The sequence below is a fragment of the Homo sapiens genome, chromosome 16, assembly GCF_000001405.40.
Source record: "Homo sapiens chromosome 16, GRCh38.p14 Primary Assembly".
In the NCBI taxonomy this organism is placed as follows: Eukaryota; Metazoa; Chordata; class Mammalia; order Primates; family Hominidae; genus Homo; species Homo sapiens.
In genome coordinates this window covers 88616992-88640593 of record NC_000016.10, presented here as the reverse complement: position 1 = coordinate 88640593, position 23602 = coordinate 88616992, and the positions used below count along the sequence as shown (strand labels likewise).

The window sequence follows — 23602 nt, the reverse complement described above, 5'->3', positions numbered from 1 at the left end:
CCACCTGCATGCACTGCTCGCGGCTGCGTAGACCTTTCTGGAAGGACACCCCAGAATTGGGTCCATGGCTGGCCTGGACCAGGGCTGAACGGGAGAATGTCGCATTGAATGTTGGCCTCTGGGGATGTGTTCATCAGTTTAATAATACACGTACACTTAAATAATTGTTTAAGAAACAGGGGTACTTCCAAGGAGGTTGGGAAGAGGCAGCCTGCGGGGGCCTGAGGCCAGTGATAGGGTAAGGGAAGCCGGGAGCAGGACAGGGAGCCAAGGTACAGGCAGCCGTGTGACACCTTTTCTGCAGCTTTAAGGGCTGGAAGAGGTGCTGAGCTCCTTCTACCCCCAACTACTGAGGCTGGAGATGAGGAGAACAGTGGGGGGCTGTCCTCCAGACACGGGGAATGCCCAGACCCCAAGGGTAGTGTTGGGGGAGGCATATAAATAACAATAAATACACATAAATAGGGGGTGCCCTCTGGGGAGCACACGTGTCCAGTCTAGGGGCCCCACGGCCTCGGCGGTCACACTGAACGGGGCAGCACGCAGGTGCAGCCGACGGGGACGTGGATGAACTCGGTGTGGAAGGCAAAGGCCCCAGGTGTGGGGAGCCCCGAGCCGTCGCGGGAGCAGGGCCGGCGGCGCAGCACCAGCAGGCTCTGGAGCAGCCGCACGGAGTTGAGCGCAGCTGTCTCGCGGCCCGTCCGTGCATCGATACAGCCTCTGCACAGGCACTCGGCGAAGGCCAGCTTCTGTGGATAGCGGTCCTCATCCGTGTCCACACTGCGGGACGGGGTGCACAGTGAGTCTCTGGCCCTACCCTGTCCTCCTGGAGGCCCCTCTCCCCTCAGGGCCCCTCTCCGTGTACTCAGGATAGGACCTGAGGCAGCGAGGGCTGAGCCACACGGGCTTGGGGTGCAGTCGGGCTCACATGTGGTGGTAATCCACGTCTCCCCAGGGCCCTCCAAGAGCACAGAGCAGGGTCCGGAGGCCTCTAGGAGCCTCCCTTCCACTTCATCACCCAGCCCCACTTCTGCAGGAGCTCAGGTGACGGGCCCAGAATTTCCCCAGGGGACCCTGGCCACCTAGGACAGTGGGAGGCAGGGCACGGCCAGCCGCAAGCAGCAGCTCAGCCGTCCAGGTCAGGAGGGCCGGAGGGAGGGAGCTCAGGTGGCCACGCCCACTTGACAGGTGAGAACCACCAAGGCCCAGAGAGCTCTCCGGGCAGTCAGGGCCCCGCCAGGGGAGGGGCAGCCCCACGCCACAGCGGAATCCCCAGGTCCTCACCGGTATCTCCAGGGTGAGATGGAGCGCTGGTGGGTGTCTGCCTCCAACACCTCCTCCGGCCGCAGCACCGGGCACTGGGTCGTAGCTGAGGGCCTCTCGTGCCTCCCCCTGTGGCTTGCTGCCTCCAGGCTGGACACCAGGGCTACAGGCAAAGCCTGCCCCCACTTGGCACCTCGAGCCAGCAGGTGTGGGGGGGCCTGGCCGAGGGGCAGTTCCTCAGCCGAGTAGCAGTGTGGGGTACCGTGACTGTGGGGGTGCCCCCTGAGGGAGGGGTCATGGTGGGCCAGGCATGTGTGCAGCCAGGTCAGAAACAGGAGGCCGGGGAGGAGCTGGTGAAACAGGCAGGTGGGTGGTTAGGAGGTGCCCAGGGCAGGGGGCACCTCACTTCCACCTCAGCTTTCCTTGTTCCCAGCGGAAAGATGGAGTACAGCCCTCCCTCTATAGATGGGGAAACTGAAGCCCAGAGAGGCTAGCCCTTCAGCCCAAGACACCCAGCATGCCAGCGCTCCGAGGATCTGCAGCTGCCTCCCCTACCCCCAGACTGAGGGGTTTCCCAGACCCCATCCCAACACCCTCCTCCCAGGCTCAGAGAACCCCAGCCCTTCCATGCCAGGCTGCACATCCAAGCAGCATCCATCCGAGCGGCATGTGGAGAGGCTCACCGTCATGGTGGCGGCAGCGGGGCAGGCTGGGCTTGGAGCGGCCTGCACACCTGGCGGCAATCCCACAGGTGCACCTGGCCATGCACCTGGCAGCAGCCGCTCTTATACCTGAGGCCACACCTGGGGGAAATTCCGGCACCACTTCCTCCTCGGGAAGTGCCCAGCTGGGGCGCTTCTTCCTTCTCTGGTCCCCGCAGCCCCCGCCTGCTGTGCATCAGGACACAGACATGCAAGGAGGCCCCGGGAGGCGCTGTCCTGTTACCCCCCTCCCCCGAGAGAGACTCCGCCCAACCTGAGCACCTACACAGGGTGCTGCCTTGTCTGACATTCTCAAACTTTTTTTTTTTTTTTGAGACAGGGTCTTGCTGTCACCCGAGCTGGAGGGAAATGGTGCTGTCCCAGCTCACTGCAACCTCCACATCCCAGGTTCAAGCGATTCTCCTGCCTCAGGCTTCCGAGTAGCTGGGATTACAGGCACCCCCCACCATGCCTGGCTAATTTTTGTATTTTTAGTACAGACAGGGTTTTGCCATATCGGCCAGGCTGGTCTGAGGCTCCTGACCTCAAGTGATCTGCTCGCCTTGGCCTCCCAAAGTGCTGGGATTACAGGAGTGAGCCACTGCGCCCAGCCTTGAACCTCCTATAAGAGGGTTTCTGCTTGCGTATCCGTCAGCACCTTGCTGATTCAACTTGTAGGTTTTCATCTGGACCTGATGGTGGCGGGGCGCTTTTGCACCCTATACAGTTCTTCTCCGTCTGCTGCTGGTGGGTGCCAAGGGTGGTTCAGTGTTTTAGCTGAGATGGTCAAGATCAGGTGAGGCTCACGTGCCCCCTTCACCCAGGTGGGAGAGGTCCCGGAGATGGGGGAGGCAGGCACGTCTTCAGGTCTCTGTTGGGTTTCTGTGTTGTTTTTTTTTTTGTTGTTTTTTTGAGGCGGAGTCTGACTCTGTCGCCCAGGCGGGGAGTACAGTGGTGCGATCTCGGCTCACTACAAGCTCAGCTTCCTGGGTTCACGCCATTCTCCTGCCTCAGCCTGCCGGGTAGCTGGGACTACAGGCGCCCGCCACCACACCTGGCTAATTTTTTTGTATTTTTAGTAGAGACGGGGTTTCACCATGTTAGCCAGGATGGTCTCGATCTCCTGACCTCGTGATCTGCCCACCTCGGCCTCGCAAAGTGCTGGGATCACAGGCATGAGTCACTGCACCCGGCCTGGGCTTCTGTGGTTTTATTGAGAAAAAAGTTCAAGCTAAAAAGTCTGAGTTGGAGGTGTGAGGAGTGAGGTGTGAGGTGTGAATGAGGCATGAGGCGTGAGGCGTGAGGTGTGAGGTGTGACCAGCACACACAGGAAGCTTTATGTAAGCGGGGCCGGGAGCTGCCTTTGGCCTCCTTGATCGGTGAGGCTGGCTGGGGGTGGGGGCGCTGGAGGTGCCTTTGTTTCCCCGGAAAGGGACAGCTGCAGCCAGAACTTGGGAAGGTTTGAATGCCGGGGGTTTGACGTCATCCTGAGGAGGGTTGTCCTGGAGTCCCCAGGGCCCCTGGCCACATCAGAGGTGGGGGAATCTGTCCGCCCTGGTCCCCTCAGCTTCGGGGTGAGGGCGGGAGGGAGGGTGCTTGTGTGCCCCCAGCCTTTCCTCCCCTGCCGCGGTGCAGATGTGTTCCACGGAGGTGTCCTCTAAGCTGAAAACCTCAGTCTCTCTGAACACAAAAGCTCCCAAGTCGGGTGGGGCTGAGGCAGCACTGGGACCCCTGGGCCCTCCAGCACCTCCTCTTGGCCGCTGTGTGGCTCTCAGCTTGTCTGCTGTGGGCCTCTGGGGGTGAAGGAGGCTGTGCCCCAGGGTTAACAGTCTGGGAGGAATCAAAGACAGATTGCTGGAGTCCCCAGGGCTGCTCCTCCCGACAGTGCCCCTGCCCACCCACCCTCTGCTTGCATACCTCCTGTGACGGGGAGCTCACTATCCGTGCTGGTTTCCTAGGGCTGTGCTAACCATGCACCACAAACTGGGGGGTGTGAAATGGGAGAAGTTTATTCCACGAGGCCGTGGAGCTGGGCGTGTTCAGGGCTGGGTCCTCCTGGAGGCTCTTCCAGCCCTCAGTTTCCCGGGCTGGCGGCTCCTCCCGTGGCCTCTCTGCTGCACCCGCCTTTTCCTCTTCTGTGGTTTATAAGGACACTGGTTGTTGGATGTAGGGCCCAGTCTAAAAGATAATCCCTCCCCCCTTCTCAGGACGTGGGACCTGCCTTAACCCAGGATGAGCCATCTCAAGATCCTTTCCCTAATTACATCAAAGCAAAAGCCCCTTTTCCAAATGAGCGCGCGTTCACAGGTTGGGTTAGGGTGTGGGTAGAGCCTTTTCCAGGACACAGCAGAACCCACTGCATCCCCAGCAGGACAGGTGCTCCTGTGTGGGTTGGCCCTGCCTTAGGCTGGGCTGATACAGGCCTCTCTGCACGGGCGCTTGGCTGTCTCAGAAAAATTCCAGCCCCTCACGGCCCTCCCCAAAAGGCGGCCTGAGCGCCTTGAGGGCCACGTCTGTGGCAGCCCCATCTGTGTACCCAGGGTTGAGAGTAGTGCAGGGCATACAGGAGGGTGCTCTGTAAATAACACAGAATGGAAAAAGGAGGGAGGAGAGCGGCTCTCCCCATGGGTACAGTGGGATGATAGCAGCTCCAGTGCCAGGGCTGCCCTGAGGCGCATTAGCATCACCTGCCTGGCTCAGGTGGTCGCAGGCCGCAGCACCTGCCGCCAGGAGGCTGACAAGCACTCTTACTGTTGGGAGACAGGGCGGCGGCAGTGGGGCAGGGGTGTTTGTCTTTTCTCCAGAGTCCACTCAGCCATTCTTCTGGGGACAAAAACTCAAGACCCCCCGCAATCTCTGCATGCCAAGCACAGCCTGGGGGTAGGGGGCTGGGCCCCTCCCTGGCTCCGGAGTCTCTGGGGGCCTCCCCTGGGTTGAGACCTACGAAGCAGCCCCGGGGTCCCTTCTGCCACAGAGAGGGGCCCAGGGGAGCCTCATTGGAAACGTCCCGAGGGGCCTGCAGCTGGGTGCTCAAGATGTTTTGTGGAAACCCTGACGAGTCACCGGGCTCAGCATGGCCGGGCCTGGCCTCCCCAGTGCTCTGCCCAACCTGCCCAGCTGCGGCTTGGGGCTAGGGCTGCAGGCCAGGCCGGGTGGGGAATCTTGAGGAGGGGAGGAGGGTGCCTTCGTGCAGGGTTAGGGAACGCACAGTGTTGGGAGGGAAAGACAAATTGATGTCAGTCCTCGTCCTCTGCTGGGAGTCCTTGTGCAGTGCACGACCTGCTCAACCATACCCAAGAAAGAGAGGAAGGGGGAGGGAATAGGAGCCAGAGGGAATGGAGGAAAACGCCAGGAAAAGACGGGGAGAGCGAGAAGCCCCCCACCTCGGCCTAGTGCCCTCGTCCCCCATCCCCCGGTGGAGCCAGTGACCCTCCCTCCTGGCATGGGGAACAGGTCTGTCCACACGTGGGTCACACACGCCGTTCCCTCGGGCAGGACCTGGTCGGCCTGATGAGGGCAGCCAGTGCCTGAGGAGGTAAATGGCCGAGTGGAAAAGTTCGGCAGGAGGGAGTGAGCAGAAGAAGCCGGAGCCCTCGGGCACAGGAGTGTCCTCCCCGGCCTCCCTCCCTCGGCTGGGCGCCCCCGCATCCTGCGCCCCGCCCAGGGGAGGATGGAAGAAGGCAGCCCCACCGCGGACTCCGCTCCGCCCCCGCCTCCTTCCTCCTCCGACCCGGGGCTGCCTTCTCCCCAGCGGCCGCCGCCCCATCTCCCGCTTTGCTCTGGTTCTGAGGTGGGACGGCCGGACTCCCAGGCACAGGCTGCACCGCGAGAACGGCGCCAGGGACCCGGCCAGCGCCGCGCGTCTCCCCACCTTCCGCGTGTTCTCAGCGCTGTCCCGGGGGTCGCAGGGCCAGGAAGACACGCCCGGGGGGACCTGCGGGACCTGCGGACTGGGCGGGGCCCGGGGTCCTGTGGGCGCAGAGGACGGGAGGACGAAGGGCGGCCTGCGCTCCTGCGGGTGGCTGAGGCAAGCGCAGAAATACCGGGTTGGGCAAGACTGGAAAAGCGGCGGCAGGAAGGCTGGAGGGCGACCCGGAGGCGGAGGCCCAGACAGGCCGAGCGGCTCTCAAACCACAACCCGGGCCCGCCCCCAGCAGACCACGCCCCCGGACCCTGGTCCGGAGATGCGGAACGAGGGGCTTCAGACAAACGCAGGGCCGGGCGGGTCAGAGGCAGCGCGGGGGACGCCCCCCAGACGCAGCGAAGGACGGACCCACGGTCAGGAGCCCTTCAGCGCCCTGAGCGGGCCTGCGGGAAGAGGGGTGAGGCAGGGAGGGCACTGGACAGGGCGGAAGGAAGCGCTCTCTGCAGGGTCTCCCCCCTACATCAAGGCGCAGGTGCACAGTGGGTCACGCGCTGCCGGCTGCCCACAACGCAGGTGTGTCCAGCCGAGGGCACTGCTGGCGGGGGTGCAAAATCGTCATGGGACGTTGGCTGGGACAGCAGAGGGCCCCTCCCTGCGGCGCGGCCGCCCCCACCCCCTCATGGGTTTTCCCCGGCAGGAGTGGTCTCGTGTGTCTCGGCCTTTTCCCCATCTGTGGATCCCTCTAGGGCCACCGCCTCCAAGCAGGGTCTACGTCTGCCTGCCCACCCAAAGCCCAGCCGAACGGGTGGGTGGAAGCGTGGCTGTGGGGGAGGAGCTGCGGGCAGAGGGCAGAGGCCCTGGGGCACCCCCTGGGAGGGGCTGGCGGGCGGATGCCGTTGCCAGAATCCCACACAGGCTTTCTAGTCACTGCATGGGGAGCGAGGAGAACGTGAGTGCCAACCACCTGGAGCAGGACGTCCCTGGAGGGCGTGGACGCCCATCGATGCCTGTCACACAGCAAGGCCGTCCTTCCCAGCTGCCTGACCAAACATCCTCTCCACTAGACCACATGGGGGCAGTCACCCTCCTAGGACAGGCCCCTCTGCACCAGTGTCCAAGAGCCAGAGGGATGGGTAGCCACACCTGGGGTCCACTGCCACCCGGTGCGAGTTCAAACCCAGCTCCAGACTGAGGTGCCTAGGGCTGTGGCCGGGGGCTGAGCAGCCGCAGAGGGGACCTCGCCTGGTCCCAGTCCACAGGTGAGCTGTGGTGGGTTCACCTGTCTGCTCCTGGCCGTTGAGCTGTGGTGGGCTCACCTGTCCGCTCCTGGCCGTAAAGAGACAGTCACTGCAGATGCTAGCTTGAGGTGCCCCACACTGGGGGCACAGAGCGCCATTTCCTGGCCTCCAGCCCTCATGGTGCAGCTCACAAATGACAGGCTGCAGGCTGGCACCCAGGGTGGCCTGGACTCCAGCTCTGTGGCCTTGAAGGCCACCCTTTTCAGAGAATGGGAATTCCCTTGCACCTGGCTTTGACCTGATGGCAAATCGGATAAGCCTCAAAAAACTGTGGCCGGACGCGGTGGCTCACGCCTGTCATCCCAGCACTTTGAGAGGCCGAGACGGGTGGATCACGAGGTCAGGAGATCGAGACCATCCTGGCTAACATGGTGAAACCCCGTCTCTACTAAAAATACAAAAAATTAGCTGGGCGTAGTGGCGGCCGCCTGTAGTCCCAGCTACTCGGGAGGCTGAGGCAGGAGAATGGTGTGAACCCGGGTGGCGGAGCTTGCAGTGAGCCGAGATCGTGCCACTGCCCTCCAGCCTGGGCGACAGAGTGAGACTCAGTCTCAGGAAAAAAAAAAAAAAAAAAAGAAAAGAAAAAATTGCTGAGACACATGATCCAGGCCGCTGGGACACAAGATGAACTGCATGGCCTGCGCTATCGGAGGGAGGTGGACATAAAATGGGAAACAGTCCCCTCAGGAGTGCACAGGCGGTCCCCCTGTGGTGCTCGCTCACGCCCAGCTCCTCTGCCTACACTCTAATTGTCATTTAATCCAGGGGAAGAGTGGCATGGACGCAGGTCATGCTGGGAGCAGAAGCACGGGATGCTGCCTCCCTGGGGCTCAGCTCGCGGCCCCGTGGGAGGGAGCTCTCTCTTGGAGGTCTCATCCTGAACCTCGGGTCAGGAAGTAGATGAGGGAGATGGGTGGGCCGCAGGCCTGGGCACCACACCGCGGCTACCTGAATCTGATTAAAGGAGGCGCTGGAGGCCCTGGAGCGTGCACCTGGGAGGCCGCTGCCCAGGCGCAGGCCTGTGGCTTTCAAGGTGGAAAGCAGGGAGCAGCAGCGGTGGGTCCTGGGGGGCTCTGCCGGTGGCCCCTGCTGTGGAACGTGGCATCACACGCGGGGCCTGGCTCAGCAGGTCTGGGGCCTGCACACGGAGCCGGTGGTGGTCACTGCAGTGGTGGCAGCTGGGCTTGGGGCTGGGAGTCAGCCCTGGACCTCTTCCCCTCCAGCAGCTCCACGGCCCCTGCAGGGAAAGTACCTCCACCTCACGGACCAAGGAAGCCCCAACCCAGCCCCACGAATGGGGAAACTGAGGCGCAATGCTCTCCTGGGCTGGGTCTGAAGGCAGGAGCTGCTCCACAGCCGGTCCTCCCGGGGGGAGTGAGTGCACAGCCACACCCTCGCCCCCCAGCGGCTCCCGAGTGCTGGGCCGAGTGCAGTGCACGACACAGAGGCAGCCCCGGCTGCGCATGGGCAGAGGGCGCACACACCACGAGGGCAAGGACAGCTGCTTATCAAAATATTTTATTTTAGGAGACCCCTCAAAAAAAGACCCACCACATTAGACAGACGCCCCAACAACACCCTTGGCCTTTTTTTGGTCTTTTCTGTATTTTTTCCTTTTTAAATCAACTAAAACAATTTGATGCTTAAAATAAAAGACAGGAAATATTTCCTGATGAGACTTTAGTCGAGAATATAGATATATTTCTGATCCGGGGGCGGGTGATCAGGGGCGGGGGAGGAGAAGGATGTGCCACCAGTGGTTCGCGAGGTTCCGTTTCTCAGCTCAGGAGGGAGCCTGGCTGCCTGGACCCGGGCTAGGGACCCAGAGCTGGGGCTCCACAGGCCTGACCAGGGCCAGGGAAGAAGACGGAGGAGGAGGAAGAGAAGGCGGGGCTGGCGGCTGGGGCTTGTAATTTACATGAGAACCGTGCTGGTCACTAGCGCTGTCTGTGTCTGTCTGTCCTGCGGGACTTCTGCTCTGGGGAGGGAGGCTGGGATTCAGCGTCGTTGTCATTTCCTGTGTGGCTTCTTTTCCAGCTGAGAAACTTTTTTTTCTTTTTTACTTTTTAAAAAGAATCACAGCCAAAATAAGACATTAACTGCAAAATCCAAAATGGCTGCGCTTACCCTATGTATAAAAATGCGTCCAGTCCGGTCGGGGCACGGCCTATGCTTTCCCGGGGATCTTGGCCCGCTTGCGTGCAATAGCATCCTCCACGGCCTTCAGCTGTTTCAGCAGCTCCTCCCGCCGAGACAGCGTGCTGGCCTTCCCTGATTTGGTGCTGGCGGCGCCGGGATCCGAGGCTTTGCCGGGCACGCTCGTGACCTTGCTGGAGCTCTTGGACTGGGGTGACAGCTGGCGCTTCCTACAAGGGGGTGGGGAAGACCTTGAGCCCCCAGAAGCCACGTCTGCAGGTGGAAGGGGTGACCTCCCCGTAGGGGCGCTTCCACTGTGTCCTCAGCGGCCACCAGGACAGGCAAGGGGCTCCCTGGATGGCCAGGCTCCCACTGCCACAAGCAGGCCTGGTCCTAGCCACTGGCTCCCGGGCTTTGTGGAGCAGACTGGGAGGGTCCTGGGCTGGCCCCGCACAACCTCCTGTTATTCTTCCCACCTCTGTGCCCAGGGATCTTTTGCCCAAGGGCATGCGGAGCAGAGGGCACCCTCCAGCCTCAACCAGGGCAGGAGCGTGTGTGTGTGTGTGGGGGGGGGTGGGGGGTGGGGCTGCAATTCGCTGTCCATGCCCCTCACCCCGTCAGACCAGCAGGAGCTGTAGTGACGCCTCCAGCCTGGCCCAGTGCTAGCCCTGCTGCTGCTGGCCTCCCTGGGGAAGCGACTGGGGCTGGCCCCCTCGGTGTGCCCAGGGCACATGCTGGGTGGGACTCACCTGTCAGCCGGGGCTGCAGGGGCTTTGGAGTTCTGGCCTCTCTGCCGCTCTGGCTTCGGGGAGCCCAGTCTCCCACCTGACTTCCGGTCCCGAGAACCTGGGTGATAGGTACAGAGTGAGACCACCCTCCTGATGTACAGGGAATGGCTGTGTGGGTGGCCTCACCGATGCCAGGGACTCACTTCTAAAGCCTGAGGCTGCTTAGTTCACCACCTTCATTTTTATAAAGAAATAAAAAGGGGAGAGCCAAGTAGGAGAAGAGAGATGTGGGCACCAAGGCATCTGGAAATGAGGCTGAGGCCAAACCTGGGCCCCAGGTTCCAGCAAGCAGCCAATATCTCACGCAGAGAGACAAAACTCCTTCCTAGCTTTGAAGAAATTTATCACATGGGTCTTCAAATACGGAACAACAAGAAAGACATGGCAGTAAAGAAATACAAGCAAAGCCGAGAGACTAGGAGTGTTTCACTCTGGCAATGTTAGGAGGGAGGCGCGGCAACCGAGGGGGGGGCCACTGCCCAGCGCAGGCCCAAGGCTGGTGCGAGAACAAAGGTCCGCAGGACCCCAGAGGCCCTGGTTCCAACCCCAGGCAAGGGCAGCAAGGCTGTTCCAGACCAGCCACACAGGGCACAGGCCCTGGGCTTAGGGACAAAGGTGAGCAGCTTCCTCTTCCTGTGTCCGACAAACCCAGAGAACTGCTTGGGAAGGGGTCTGGAAGCCCCCTGCCTGTTCTCTGTGTCTGGGAGTGTCTGTGCGGGTGGCCAGGCCCCCTTGTCCTCTATCTGGTTTGAGCTCCACCCATCAAAGCCAGCCAGGACAATCTCCCTGTCTTTCCATCTGGGCCCCAGCTCTTGGGGTGTGGTCAGCATGGCTGGGGGTCCCCGAGGCCCTTTCAGGTCTGTGTGGTTCAACAGTAATATAGACACTATCTGCCTCGTCACTCAGTCCGCAGGAGCCTGGGAGGATCTCCAGAAGGCACGAGGCATGTGGGTCCAGCCGTCTTCCGTCAGCCAGACTGAAGAGATTTGCAAAAATGGAAAAACCAATGCCATTCCTGCTCATTTGTTTTGGAAAATATATTTTGCAAAAATGGCACATGTGTAAAAAAAAATACAGTTGCTCTTGTTGCCCAAGCTGCAGTGCAATGGTGCAATCTCAGCTCACTGCAACCTCTGCCTCCCAGGTTCAAGCGATTCTCCTGCCTCAGCCTCCCAAGTAGCTGGGATTACAGACGCACGCCACTACGCCCAACTAATTTTTTGTATTTTTAGTAGAAACAGGGTTTCACCATGTTAGCCAGGCTGGTCTCAAACTCCTGACCTCAGATGATCTGCCCACCTTGGCCTCCCAAAGTGCTGGGATTACAGGCATGAGCTACCGCGCCCGGCCTAATTTTTGTATTTTTAGTAGAGACAGGGTTTTACCAGGTTGGCCAGGCCGGTCTGGAACTCCTGACCTCAAGTGATCTGCCGGCCTCAGCCTCCCAAAGTGCTGGGATTATAGGCGTGAGCCACCACGCCCGGTCCTGTTATTTTTAAACAAATATTTAAAACCTTTTCTTCGTTTTAGTTTTCAACACCCTAAATACCGACAGGCATCATCTGCAAGTCAGATGTTCTCTGGACCCTCCTCCTACTTGTTAAGAGCAATGGGGTCTCAGACCCAGCTGCTCCGCATCCCCAGGCTCCCGTCCCTCTGCCCTGCCCCCTAGGGGCTGGGAGGCTCACCTCGGTCTGGGGATGTGTTGGGCCGCTTGGCTGGAGGAGGGCTCTGCCTGTCCTTGTCTGATGGTTCATAGCGCTTCCTGCTTCCTTTATCAGCCGCCTGGGACAAGAGAGAGGCCAGTGAGGACAGCAGGGCCAGGAGCCAGAAGCCGTGTCCTCGCCCCAGAGGACATGGGTTCCTTGCCAGCAACCTGCTCTGCTCCCAAAGGTCCCACCACACACCCATGAGACCCCGTAGCCCTGAGTGAGGCCTCCAGGACCCGGACCAAGGGCACCCCCACTGTGCACTTGGGGCCCTTCACGTTCCAGGGGAAGCACCCTGCAGGCCTTCCTGCTCCCCACGGGGGCCACTCTAGGAGGACCTGGGACCCATGAAGCCAGGCCTCTTGCCCTTCCAGCAGAGGACAGGGATGTGTCCTGCTGAGGACAGAGGACAGGGACGGAGGCTTCCTGTATTGTGTTGAGACTGCATGGCAGGGAATGGCGGCCACAGGCACGAAGAGAACGCCCTCTCTGTTCAGAGAGAGGCCAGCAGCACCCAAACCTCCCCAGATGCTCACACTTCCCAGCCCAGGCCGGAAAGATGGAGTCTCGCTTTGTTACCCAGGCTGTGCTGACACCTGCAAGGCCCCACTCGCCCTCACTCAGGCTCCGTCCCCCAGGAGGAAGCTGTCTCAGGAAGCAGATGGACCCAGGCCTAGACGCTGGGGCAGCCACCAGGAGGGCCCTTGCCCTCACCTTATTCAACAGTGTCAACTTGATCTCCTTGTGGGCCACAAATGTGCCCTGCTGGGGCTGCCCGGGGGGTGCCTGCTGGGGTGTCGAGGGCTGCTGGGAGGACTTCCCCCCTGCTGGAGGTTTTGCAGATTTGGGTGGTTGTGTGGACGAATCCCTTTTCCGCTTTTCCTCTTTAACACCGTCTTCTTTCTTAGATTTTCCTACCAATGATAAATCCGCAGTCATGGGGGTACTGGTGATTTTCCCATGGCCACACCAACAGCCAGGCAAAGTCTGTGCTGATGCCGCCCTCCTCCCCCGGGAGCTGCTCCCCAAAGGTACCAGGGCTCCTGAGTACCTTTCTCCTTCCTGGTCTGGGCTGGGGCCGGGGACCGAGAGCTGGCTGAGGACACGGGGCTAGCCAGGTCTGCGTACATGTCCTCCGAGTCCACGCTGTGTGCAGAGCTGCTGCTCGACGTAGCACTGGACACTGAGGAGACGCTGCTCACGCTCAGGGACCTGGACACACAAGCACATCTCACCACACCCCAGCCAGACTGGAGGGAGGGGCCAGCAGGGGGTGCTCCATGGTCCACTTTTACGCAGTGTCCATTTATGGATCATGTACCCACGGAATGTGTGATTTTGGGGGGACACTGGGCAGTTTCAGGGTTACAAAGTAAGGGACGTCCCCATGGCTAGGCCAGGGCCCCATTTCACTAATCAATGTCAGGTTGCAGCCAGGCACGGCTGCTCACGCCTGTAATCCCAGCACTCTGGGAGACTGAGATGGGCAGATCTCGTCACGAGCAATGGGGTCTGAGACCCAGCTGAACTGATGTCAGGAGTTCGGGACCAGCTTGGCCAACATGGTAAAACCCCATCTCTACTAAAAATACAAAAATTAGCCGGGCGTGGTCGCAGGCGCCTGTAATCCCAGCTACTGGGGAGGCTGAGGCAAAAAAATCGCTTGAACCCGGGAGGTGGAGGTTGCAGTGAGCCGAGACCATGCCATCGCACTCCAGCCTGGGCGACAAGAGTGAAACTCCGTCTCAAAACAAACAAAAAACAAAACGAATGTCAGGTTGCTTTTTGGGAAGGGAAACAGGACTGAGCTGACTCAACAGCGGCAAGGATGGAATTTAAGCAGAGTCCCTGGCTTAGACAAAAGGGAGATAGCCTCAGCCCACAGGGAAATTAAAAACACAAGGAGCAATTCCGCAGTCTCAGGGAATGCCTGAGGAACACACGGCAGACAGACTGGAAACAGCAGGTCTGTAGCTTCACTGGCGTGCACTCAACACGGACACAAAGCACACAGGACTGGCACCTGAGTCTGCCCTGCCCATATGCTGCTCGAGAAAACACCAACCACGTCTTCCAGGTACATTGGGTACCGGAGCAAGGAACGGGGGAATGTAAGAGAACCATTTTTTTTTTTCAAAAGTCAGGTCTTTAAAACATTTCAGACTTATTAAGAAACATTTAGGCCAGGCGCGGTGGCTCATGCCTATAATCCCACGAGTTTGGGAGACCACGGTGGGAGGATCACTTGAGCCCAGGAGTTTGAGACCAGCCTGGGCAACACAGCAAGACCATGTCTCTCCAGAAACAAAACAAACAAAAGAAACAAAGAACTGTGACAAATATATAAACGACCTGCTGCCTGGAAATGAAAGAGTTCTATGCAAGGAATCTAAGGACTGATTTAATACTTTCTTTTAAAACAACTAAATAGCAAAAATCCTTTTTTTTTGTTTTGAGACAGGATCTCTGTTGTCCAGGCTGGAATGCAATGTCGTGATCACAGCTCATTCAACCTTGACCTCCCAAGTAGCTGGGATCATAGGCACACACCACTATACCCAGCTAATTAAAAAAAATTTCTGGGCTGGGTGCAGTGGCTCACACCTGTAATCCCAGCACTTTGGGAAGCCGAGGCGGATGGATCACCTGAGGTCAGGAGTTCAAGATCAGAAACGTGGTAAAACCCAGTCTCTACTAAAAATACAAAATTAGGCTGCGTGCGGCGGCTCACGCATGTAATCCCAGCACTTTGGGAGGCCAAGGTGGGTGGAATGCCTGAGCTCAGGAGTTTGAGACCAACCTGGGCAACATGGTGAAACCCCATCTCTACTAAAATACAGAAAATTAGCTGGGCGTGGCAGTGTGCGCCTGTAGTCTCAGCTACTCAGGGGGCTGAGGTTGAATCCGGGAGGCGGAGGTAGCGAGATCGCGCCATTGCACTCCAGCCTGGGCAACAAGAATGAAACTGTCTCAAAAAAAAAAAAAAAAAAAAAAATCTTTTTCTGTGGAGATGGGGTCTATGTTGCTCAGGCTGGTCAAGTCCTGGGCTCAAGCAATCCTCCTGCCTTGGCCTCCCACGGTGCTGGGATCACAGGTGTGAGCCGCCGCACCTGGCCCACAAAGCTTTTCCATGTATTCTCTTCTCAGATGTTTTTATCGGCTTCCCCACCCCCTCAGGCCGGTTCCCTCGACAGGTGTGATAGGTCACGCAGGCCCAGCCTCTGCCCTGCTGGGCTGGAAGCTGCCGGCTCCTCCCCAGGTGCAGGTGCTCTCTCAGGGTGCTGGGCATCAAGTCAGCAGGGCAGAGGCACCTCCTCCTGACCTGAGTGCCCCCGAGTTTGTGAATCTTTTTTTGGTGGGGGGAGGGGGTCTTCCTATCACGAGTCCTGGCCCATTTTCTCCTGTGTCAAAGCTTCAACCGCAGCCTTCCACAGCCCCAGGGTGACTCAGATCCAGAAGGGCCCCAGCCCACCTGTGGGAGACAGCCCAACCCACACTGGCTGCTTCTGGGACTTCCTGGCCCCGACGGGGAGGGAGAAACAGAGGCACAGGGTGATGGGGATGACCTGGATCGGGAGCTGGAACCACTATAGCTGCTACCACTGCCACTGCCGCTGCCGCTTAGCGTCCGCCTGTAATACAAGCAACAGCGGGGCTCAGGGGGCGTGGCCTCCACAGCCCCTCGCGGCCTCCCCTCCCCACCAGCAGCCCTGTGAGGTGAGCCTCCAGACTGGCCTTGCTACCACCTTGGAACAGGGCCTGGGCCTGTCTTCCTTTAGGCTCAGTGTTTTGTCAAGATAAAAAGTACAGTCTCTCGGGGGCAGCACCTTCCAGTGCAGACGGGGCCATGGCGGGAAGGCCTGTGCTCCGTGCCACGCTGTCCCTTCCCCTTCACGCTCCAGAAACACAGGCTCAGGGAGGGGACAGGGCAGGTTCCCGGGTAAGGGCTCACTGGGTGCTGCTCGGCTAGGGGGCGCTTCCCACCACCTGGCTCTGGACCCTGGCACTCTGGATTTCCAGCAGTGCCAGCATCACAGTGGCACCAAGAACACGGAAAGCCTGAGGGCCCCGGACGCCGGAGTGCTCACCTCCTGGGGGGGGTCCTGGCTGGCCGCTCCTTCCTCCTGGCTTCCCGAGGGTCTCCTGGCTTGGTGGGCTCGGGGACAGGAGCAGTGGTTTTGGTGGCCTGTGGTGGGGCTGGAGGCGGGGCCGGCTTCTTCACTGACTTCTCTCTGTGAGACAGGGAGGCTCGAGCAGGGCAGGGCTGGTGGACGGGGCCCCGCTGGCCTACATCCCCTTTCAATGGACCCACAGCTCGGGGAACGACACTGCATGCCTGTGACGCTCGGTGAGCACGCTCGTGCCTGGACACGGCTCCCCACCCATCGGTGTCAGAGTGCTTGGGAACGGCTTCAAAGCCCCCAGCAGCCCTTCCAGGCTCCCCTCTAACAGGCAAGAGCTACAGGCACCGCCAGGCAGTGGGGAGAGCAGGCTAATAGGAAGACCCCTTAAGAACACCCGGCTGCTGCCGTGTCCCCAGGGCTGTGCTCTGTCCCCAGGGTTCCCGAGGGAGTGCTGCTGTGTAAGGGTGGCCCGTGAGAACAGGAGCTGTGCCCAGTGCCTCCCAGCCCAGTCACCCCCTGGGGCCAGCCCCCTGAGGCATCCTCACCTCTTTGGTCCCAAACACAAATGAGAGATAGAGACGGAGGGAGGAGGCTGCAGCCTGTGGAGGCCTGGCCGGCCAGGACTTGCCCACAGGCTGGGCACTCACCCTGCTTTCCCGGGCGGCGGGGCCGGCTCTCCCTTGGTTCTGATGGAAGGTCTATGTGGGGAAGGTGTTGGGGACGGGGACGGGGACGAAGAGAAGGACCGGGACCTAGGGGAGTGAACAAAGGTGTCGGAAGGGGCCTGGGGGTGTTTCTTCACCAGCCCAAGCCCACTGAGGACCCACCCAGACCCATGGAGAAGGCCACGAATTTCCATTTATGTGCCTCAGTTTTAACTTCAGTTCTGGACTGTTCTGTCATCTGCTAAAAACACAGGCCCAGAGTAGACCAGAGAGCGTGGAAGGTGTCAGCATCCACTGGCGGGTCCTCCGGGAGGCGAGTGTCACGTTCATGTGTGTGCAGGACAGGAGGAGACAGGCTCCTTGGCAGTGGGGCAGCAGCACAGCTCCCATAGAAACACCCACAGGACAGGGCTGGGTCTGGCCCCTTCCTCGGCCTGTCTGCGGAGGACTGGAGTGCCTCAACTCGAGGATCTCAGGCTGTGGCCCTCAGTGACAGCACGCATCTACACAAGGACGAGGGCCCGCAAGGCTGGTGTTTGGTGGGGGACACAGGACACGACCCCCTGGCCATCCTAGTTCAGCTGCCAGCAGGGACCTTCAATACCCCAAGGGGCTACTGGCGCCACAACTAAAGCCACATCCGCAGGTGCCCTTGCTCACTGCACCTGCTGAGGGCCCTTCATGGGCCCTGGGGACATACCTGGACCGGCTTCCTGAGAACGAGCTGTGTCTGGAAGAGCGGCTGGAGTAGGAGCTGTAGGATGAAGACCGGGATCGCGACCGGGAGGAGCCGGAGCCAGAGTAGGACGATGACCGCGAAGACGACCTGGGGCGGGCGGGACGGAGCGTGGCGAGAAGTGAGAAGGGCCCTCCCTGCCCCACACGCCCTGACGCACACATGCACAGCTACACACCCACAGACGCACAGCTACACACAAGCGCACAGCTGCGCACGCGCGCACAGCTGCAGACGCGCGCACAGACGCATACAGCCTCCCCCAGACACTCTTCAGTGCCATCCCTCCTTGGTGCAGAACGGCATTTAGAAATCAAGACCTGGGCGTGGGGTGTGCCTGCTGTTACCGGGTGGCGCTGCCTGAGTGGGCAGACCCAGCTCACGTGGGTCCGTGTGTGTGTCTATCTGTTCATCTGCATCCACTTTCAGTGAAGCCTGGCCTCCCACCCACACCTCCTGTTCCTGCCGAGCATGATGGGGTCTACCCCGGCCCCCTGCTTTCCATCATCCCTCACTCGGGAGCCGGGCTCCTGTGTGCTGAGACCAGGACCGTAGGTGGAGGGGCAACAGTTTCAGGTCCAGTCTGGAGGAACAGATGGACTCACTGGGCCCCAGGTCTGTGCGTCCTCCCGCATCCAGGTGCCCCTCCCTCCAGTGTGGCCTGTGACTCCCTGGGAGCAGTCAGGCTCAGTCGCCGGGGTCTGTGCCCCATTTGGGGTCACTGCGTCAGTCCTACTTGGCATTGATGCTCTTTGCTGAAGGTATAAACGCCGGGTTAGTCCCACTGACTGGTCTGCAGGTAACGACGCCACAGCAAACAGTGGGGCTGGGGTGTTCCCCACCTGACCCAGTGAGGTACATGGTGTCAGCTGACGGCTCCAAGGTGCTGACACCCCAGCCGTCCCACGAGCCCTCCTTACCTGGAGGAATTAGAGGCAGAGGCTGACGAGGCTGATGTTTTCCGACGCCTTCGAGCCCGGCTCGGGGAGACCGACACCCCGAGTTTCTTCTTGGGAGACTTGGATCGGCGCCAAGGGTCCTTCCACTCATCTGCTCTCTTCACCTGCGGCCCCGTGGTGGCAGCCTCCTTCTTTGGTGGCTCAGCTTGGCGGCTGAAATTACAGAGGCATTAGCAACTCTCAGGCCACCTTCCGCTTCACAGCAATGCCAGGTGTGACAGCAGCGGGAGAGACTATGGATCTCATACCTGGCTTATTTAAGGATCACCTGAGAAACAAAGGGTCCTAAGGGGAAAAAAGGCCACTCACAAAACCCATCACCCCATGGACTTGGGTGATGTCCATGGCCCTTGGCTCAGTGTCTGTTACTCAGGGGAACACCCAGATTTCTCCTGAACCAGAATGGCAGTTACTTTCTGTGAGTGTCATTACTTACTTAATTTCCATCTTTCCAACTACGCTGTCAGCTCTAGGAGGGACAGGGATGGTGTCTGCCGTGTCTAATACTATCTCTAGTGCTGATATACTAGTAGGTTCATAATAAATATTTATGAAATAAGCCCAGGTATGGTGGCACACGCCTGCAATCCCAGCACTTTGCGAGGACGAGGCGGGTGGATTACTTGAGGTCGGGAGTTCCAGATCAGCCTGGCCAATATGGTGAAACCTGTCTCTATTAAAAATACAAAAATTAGGCTGGGCGCGATGGCTCATGCCTGTAATCCCAGCACTTTGGGAGGCTGAGGTGGGCGGATCATGAGGTCAGGAGTTCGAGACCAGCCTGGCCAACATGGTGAAACTCCATGTCTACTAAGAATACAAAAATTAGGCCGGCTGCGGTGGCTCACCTGTAATCCCAGCACTTTGGGAGGCCGAGGCGGGCGAATCACGAGGTCAAGAGATCGAGACCATCCTGGCTAACATGGTGAAACCCCATCTCTACTAAAAATATATAAAATTAGCCAGGCGTGGTGGCAGGCGCCTGTAGTCCCAGCTACTTGGGGGGCTGAGGCAGAAGAATGGCGTGAACCCGGGAGGTGGAGCTTGCAGTGAGCCGAGATCGCGCCATTGCACTCCAGCCTGGGCGACAGAGCGAGACTCTGTCTCAAAAAAAAAAAAATAAAAACAAAAACAAAAATTAGTTGGATGTGGTGGCGGGCGCCTGTAATCCCAGCTACTTGGGAAGCTGAGGCAGGAGAATTGCTTGAAACTGGGAGGCGGAGGTTGTAGTGAGCTGAGACTGCGCCACTGCCCTCCAATCTGGGCGACAGAGCAAGACTTCGTCTCAAAACAAAACAAAACAAAAAACAAAAAAATTAGCTGGGTGTGGTAACACGTGCCTGTAATCCCAGCTACTGGGGAGCCTGAGGGCAGGAGAATGGTTTGAACCCAGGAGGCAGAGATTGCAGTGAGCTGAGACTGCGCCACTGCACTCCAAACTGGGCAACAGAGTGAGACTCCATTATAAAAAACAAACAAAAAAACCCAAACACAAATGATATTAAACTGACCCCTTATATATAAATCTTTATCTGACTTTTTAAAGGGTAAACTCCTGAGCAATGGAATTAATGGGTCAAAGGAGATACACATTTTACAGGTTCTTGGTGGGTTATCAGATATTTTTTCCTCATTCAGCCAGCAGTGTGCGGTGCCGAACCTGGGCTCGGTGTCACCACTAAGAACCACAACCACCACCCAGACACAAACTAACCCAAAATCCTGGCAATTGTATAAGCAGAACGTGGCTTTTTTTTTTTTTTTCTTTTTTAGAGACAGGGTCTTGCTCTGTTACCCATGTGGGCTGGAGTGTGGTGGCATAATCACTGCAGCCTTGAGCTTCCAGGCTGAAGGGATCCTCCCACCTCAGCCTCTTGAGTAGCCAGGACTGCAGGTGTGCACCACCACACCCAGGTCATTAAACATTGATTTGAGGTCTCCCTATGTTGCCCAGGCTGGTCTCGAATTTCTGGCCTCAAGTGATCCTCCCACCCTGGCCTCCCAGAGTGCTGGGGTTATAAGCTTGAGCCGCCATGCCTGGCCTGCAAACACATTTTAAAAAGCTGTTTTAGTTCCTGTGTTACTGTGAGTGGGATTCTCTGCCCTACGTCTTGCTCACCTCTGGCTCTGCTGTGGTAGCATCTGCTTACGTCACACGACAACACATGAAACCACCAAAACCATCAATGTTTATGTTTTCAGAGCTTGTTTAACCAACCGGCTGGCAAACATGCCTGCTATCTGCTGAGAATGCAGGATGGGGGCAGCTCCCCACTTAACACTGTCCTAAGGACACGGACACGCGACATCACAGCTTCAGCTCCTGTACGTCAGCCCAAAACCCCAAGAGCTATTGCCACATCTGGGTGTCTCCTGGAAAAGTAATCCAGGAAGGAAGTAAACACCTGTCTGATGATCCTCCCTGTCACAGGCTACTAGAGAGCTACTTTCACCTTTATACTTCCTGTATAACTCTCATCCTAACACCCCAAGAGGAAAGGGAGCACCAATAAGTCACAGGGACAGCGCGGCCCTTCCAACACAGGGAGAGGGAACGGGCAGAAGTCAAGGCGTGGTCAGGACCACCTCTTCTTCGGGTGAAGCTGTAACAGCATGTGGAGTCCTAGCTGCGGTGAGGGGGAAGGAAAAACAGCGTCTGCTTGCCCCCTGCCACGGCATGGAAATAAAACCAGCTGAGGTCCAGAGAGGCGGGCAGTGCAGGCCTCCACAATCTCAGGGCAGCTGGTGCTTGCCCCCCAGAAAGAGCTGCTCATTCCCTCTGGAGACAATGATACCGAATTTCAAAATGAAGATGGCCAGAGGCAGGCCCAGCAGGGGTCAGTGAGGTCTCTCCTTCTCTGGGCCAGGGCTGTGGACGGGCCTGCACCATCTCGTCACTGCACAGCGCGCCCTCCGCTGCCGCCGGCCGCACCACCTTCCTTCTGAAGCAGCTGCTTCCAGGCCCATGGAGCAAGGAGGTCCTATCCAGCAAGTCCATGTTACCACGTGTGGGACGTGGTGGTACTGATTTTAACCAGGATGCAGATAACCATTTTTTTCCTTTTTTCTTTTTTTTGAGACAGAGCCTCGCTCTGTTGCCCAGGCTGGAGTACGGTGGTGCGATCTTGGCTCACTGCAAGCTCTGCCTCATGCCATTCTCCTGCCTCAGCCTCCCATTGGACATTATCTCCACTGCACTTTGATAGCGAGTCTCCGGGCACCAAGTCTGCGGCAGAAAGCAAGGCTGAGCACTGGCTTTCTACAGCCCAGGGAACCGAGGCATGTGCCCTTCTCTCAGCAAAGAATGTCACCCCAGGGGACATCCTGATTAGACTTGGAAAAACCAGGCAGATACAAAATAAACAAAACCAAAACACACAACATGGGTGCCCCAGGACAGCCCACCGAGTGCGGCTCAGCTCCTTCACAAGTAGGGGCCTGCGCAGAGGGAGCCAGTGTGGGCTGAGAACGCTCGCAAGGGATGGCCCAGTCAGGAAGGCCCACCTCCAAGCTGGGCCAGGACAGATCTGGAATTTGCATGAACACTTCCAACCGCAGGGGAGAACCCTCCAGATGACCTCTGACTGAGGAAGTAGCCTTTCCCGCAGCACAAGGCCCGCGCTATCATCTGGCCCCCATTCCCCGTTGAAGGCCACAGGAGACTCTCTAAGGGGCAAAGGTCAGCTCCACCACCAATGCAAACATGCCAGAGGCAGACAAAACCAAGGGCCCGAGGCTGGCACACTCATAGCTCATGCCTCACCGATGCCAGCAGCCACACGAGGCGCCACAGATGCCAGGCTGCTACAGGCCACGTGTCCAGAAACTCCAACCCCAGCAGCTGTCAAGTTTGGGGTCAAAGGTGAAAAAGGATAAAAACGCATGAAGGTTCTTTCTTCAATCAAAAGAGCTAAGCATCTACATCAACAAGGGAAAAGGGAGATGGGAGCCTATGGGCCTCCCCGGGCTGAGCCTGCTCAGAGGCAGCTCTGGGAGCACCTCCACAGCAAAGCTTCTCTCCTGGCTTGTTCTGTGAGTGCCTGTGGAGCATTTAGCTACGGGCCACATGCTCTCCCCACCTCCCTTAAAACGTAACAGAAAAAGCCCAAAGCAGACCTGGAGTGCCCGCCCCATGTCTTTACACTTTGCAAAAAAAAAAAAAAGTGGAGTCCAATGGACGACCTGAGTGGCCGTCACCTTCTCTGTGACTTGTGCAGAAGGCCAGGCGGCCTCACTCACACCTGCAAGAGCCAGTCTCAGCGCAGAGCAGATACAAACACCAGCAACTGCGCCTTCTGTGCGTTCAACTGCACATGAAAATCCCTAACTCCACTAGTCCCTTACCCAGAAGGCTGGTCTAAAATAGGGTTTCTTAACCTTTCTAGGGGAGTCACAAATCCCTCTGAAGAAGACTGTGTAGCCTGGCCCACTCCCAGCAGAGATCTTGAGACTCCTGGGGTGCCTCAAACTGGCAGATGAGAGGGCTCAGCCCAAAAAACTGAGCATGAAGCGGTGGCCCAGGAAGCAGGCGCCCACTGGATGGGCCGCCAAAGGGGTGCGGACTCTGCGGTGTCCGGAACTTACCAGGGAAGAGTGAGAATGAAGAGCCCGGGGTGAGTAGGTGCTGGGGGGCGAGTGCTTCCAGTCTCAGGGGTCCACCCCACAACCCCACCGCAGGAGCCTGCCAAGCTCAAGCCCTGAAGGGGCACCCAAAGCTGCAAAGGTAAACCTGGAAGTTGAATAGCTTGGAGACAGCAGGCAGCCCAGACAGCTCCTGCGGGAAGGTCCCCAATCAGTGTTTACATTTCTAATGACAATGACTAGCCAAAGAGCATCGTAATGACGTGCCTCGGCGGTGAGCACACCCATCGGCCTAGCTATAAAGATTAGGTTTCACATAAGGGACCGCCCCCTTAGCTCTACAGATGCATTTGATAGAATTGATTGAAAGGTTCTGCTCTAATCATTTTAAAACAGCCCAGGTGGAGGAGTGGGTAAGCCTCAAAAGGCAAACTAGGACGGAGAGAGCGGCACAACTCCGTCTCCAGCCGCAGGTCCAGGGGGGAGCTGGTCAAGAAGCCCTGCCAGAGATACCGATGGGGATGAGATCCCGACGGGGACAAGCTAGCCAGTAACTCCCAGAGCCAAACAGCTTAGGCAGTAAGAGAGAACCTCAGGAAAGAGGGGTATTAGCTTAGAGATAAGGAAAAGAAATGGCTCCCCCATGGACAGAGGGCTGGCCATCAGATAGCTCAGGGCAGTGTTTCCTATTGGGGCTCAGCATTATCCTTCCCGGGGGAGGCCCTCAACTCTACCCAGGACACCCATGGCACCCAAACAGTGGCCGACTCTCGCTCC

General features: G+C 58.6%; 2 protein-coding genes and 1 long non-coding RNA gene across 12 annotated transcripts in view, besides 8 other annotated features; all 3 read right to left on the bottom strand.

Annotated features, from left to right (window-relative positions):
- IL17C (interleukin 17C) lies at nt 126-2022 on the bottom strand. The gene is made up of 3 exons (NM_013278.4): nt 1947-2022; nt 1285-1613; nt 126-780 (listed from the first exon to the last, which is right to left on the bottom strand). The coding sequence occupies exons 1-3, from the start codon at nt 1950-1952 to the stop codon at nt 522-524; spliced, it is 594 nt and encodes a 197-aa protein (NP_037410.1). The 5' UTR covers nt 1953-2022; the 3' UTR covers nt 126-521.
- Nucleotides 2023-3159: 1137 nt separating this feature from the next.
- LOC124903755 (uncharacterized) lies at nt 3160-5586 on the bottom strand. The gene is made up of 2 exons (XR_007065181.1): nt 3882-5586; nt 3160-3794 (listed from the first exon to the last, which is right to left on the bottom strand). It is a non-coding gene; the product is annotated as an uncharacterized LOC124903755 (long non-coding RNA).
- Nucleotides 4891-5820: an enhancer, noted in NCBI's record as "H3K27ac-H3K4me1 hESC enhancer chr16:88701182-88702111 (GRCh37/hg19 assembly coordinates)". NCBI's record gives its function as "activates a minimal SCP1, AML or CMV promoter by ChIP-STARR-seq in naive H9 embryonic stem cells {active_cell/tissue: H9 hESC(naive)}" and the evidence as "EXISTENCE:reporter gene assay evidence [ECO:0000049][PMID:30033119]".
- Nucleotides 5522-5681: a silencer, noted in NCBI's record as "silent region_7862". NCBI's record gives its function as "represses an Ori minimal core promoter by ATAC-STARR-seq in GM12878 lymphoblastoid cells {active_cell/tissue: GM12878}" and the evidence as "EXISTENCE:reporter gene assay evidence [ECO:0000049][PMID:35858748]".
- Nucleotides 5902-5981: a silencer, noted in NCBI's record as "silent region_7861". NCBI's record gives its function as "represses an Ori minimal core promoter by ATAC-STARR-seq in GM12878 lymphoblastoid cells {active_cell/tissue: GM12878}" and the evidence as "EXISTENCE:reporter gene assay evidence [ECO:0000049][PMID:35858748]".
- Nucleotides 6022-6081: a silencer, noted in NCBI's record as "silent region_7860". NCBI's record gives its function as "represses an Ori minimal core promoter by ATAC-STARR-seq in GM12878 lymphoblastoid cells {active_cell/tissue: GM12878}" and the evidence as "EXISTENCE:reporter gene assay evidence [ECO:0000049][PMID:35858748]".
- Nucleotides 6182-6231: a silencer, noted in NCBI's record as "silent region_7859". NCBI's record gives its function as "represses an Ori minimal core promoter by ATAC-STARR-seq in GM12878 lymphoblastoid cells {active_cell/tissue: GM12878}" and the evidence as "EXISTENCE:reporter gene assay evidence [ECO:0000049][PMID:35858748]".
- Nucleotides 7092-7161: an enhancer, noted in NCBI's record as "active region_11358". NCBI's record gives its function as "activates an Ori minimal core promoter by ATAC-STARR-seq in GM12878 lymphoblastoid cells {active_cell/tissue: GM12878}" and the evidence as "EXISTENCE:reporter gene assay evidence [ECO:0000049][PMID:35858748]".
- ZC3H18 (zinc finger CCCH-type containing 18) overlaps nt 8630-23602 on the bottom strand; it is a 61562-nt gene continuing 46589 nt past the window's right edge. For all 10 annotated transcript variants that reach the window (NM_001294340.2, XM_011522863.2, NM_144604.4 and 7 more), the window contains 10 exons: nt 18206-18397; nt 17250-17375; nt 16532-16636; nt 15849-15992; nt 15327-15392; nt 12812-12972; nt 12475-12674; nt 11740-11836; nt 10013-10109; nt 8630-9493 (listed from right to left, as the gene is read on the bottom strand). In NM_001294340.2, coding sequence (NP_001281269.1) covers nt 9295-9493; nt 10013-10109; nt 11740-11836; nt 12475-12674; nt 12812-12972; nt 15327-15392; nt 15849-15992; nt 16532-16636; nt 17250-17375; nt 18206-18397 — 1387 coding nt within the window. In that variant the 3' untranslated portion in view covers nt 8630-9294. The remainder of the gene's footprint in view (nt 9494-10012; nt 10110-11739; nt 11837-12474; nt 12675-12811; nt 12973-15326; nt 15393-15848; nt 15993-16531; nt 16637-17249; nt 17376-18205; nt 18398-23602) is intronic.
- Nucleotides 11569-12283: an enhancer, noted in NCBI's record as "H3K27ac-H3K4me1 hESC enhancer chr16:88694719-88695433 (GRCh37/hg19 assembly coordinates)". NCBI's record gives its function as "activates a minimal SCP1, AML or CMV promoter by ChIP-STARR-seq in primed H9 embryonic stem cells {active_cell/tissue: H9 hESC(primed)}" and the evidence as "EXISTENCE:reporter gene assay evidence [ECO:0000049][PMID:30033119]".
- Nucleotides 12284-13000: an enhancer, noted in NCBI's record as "H3K27ac-H3K4me1 hESC enhancer chr16:88694002-88694718 (GRCh37/hg19 assembly coordinates)". NCBI's record gives its function as "activates a minimal SCP1, AML or CMV promoter by ChIP-STARR-seq in naive H9 embryonic stem cells {active_cell/tissue: H9 hESC(naive)}" and the evidence as "EXISTENCE:reporter gene assay evidence [ECO:0000049][PMID:30033119]".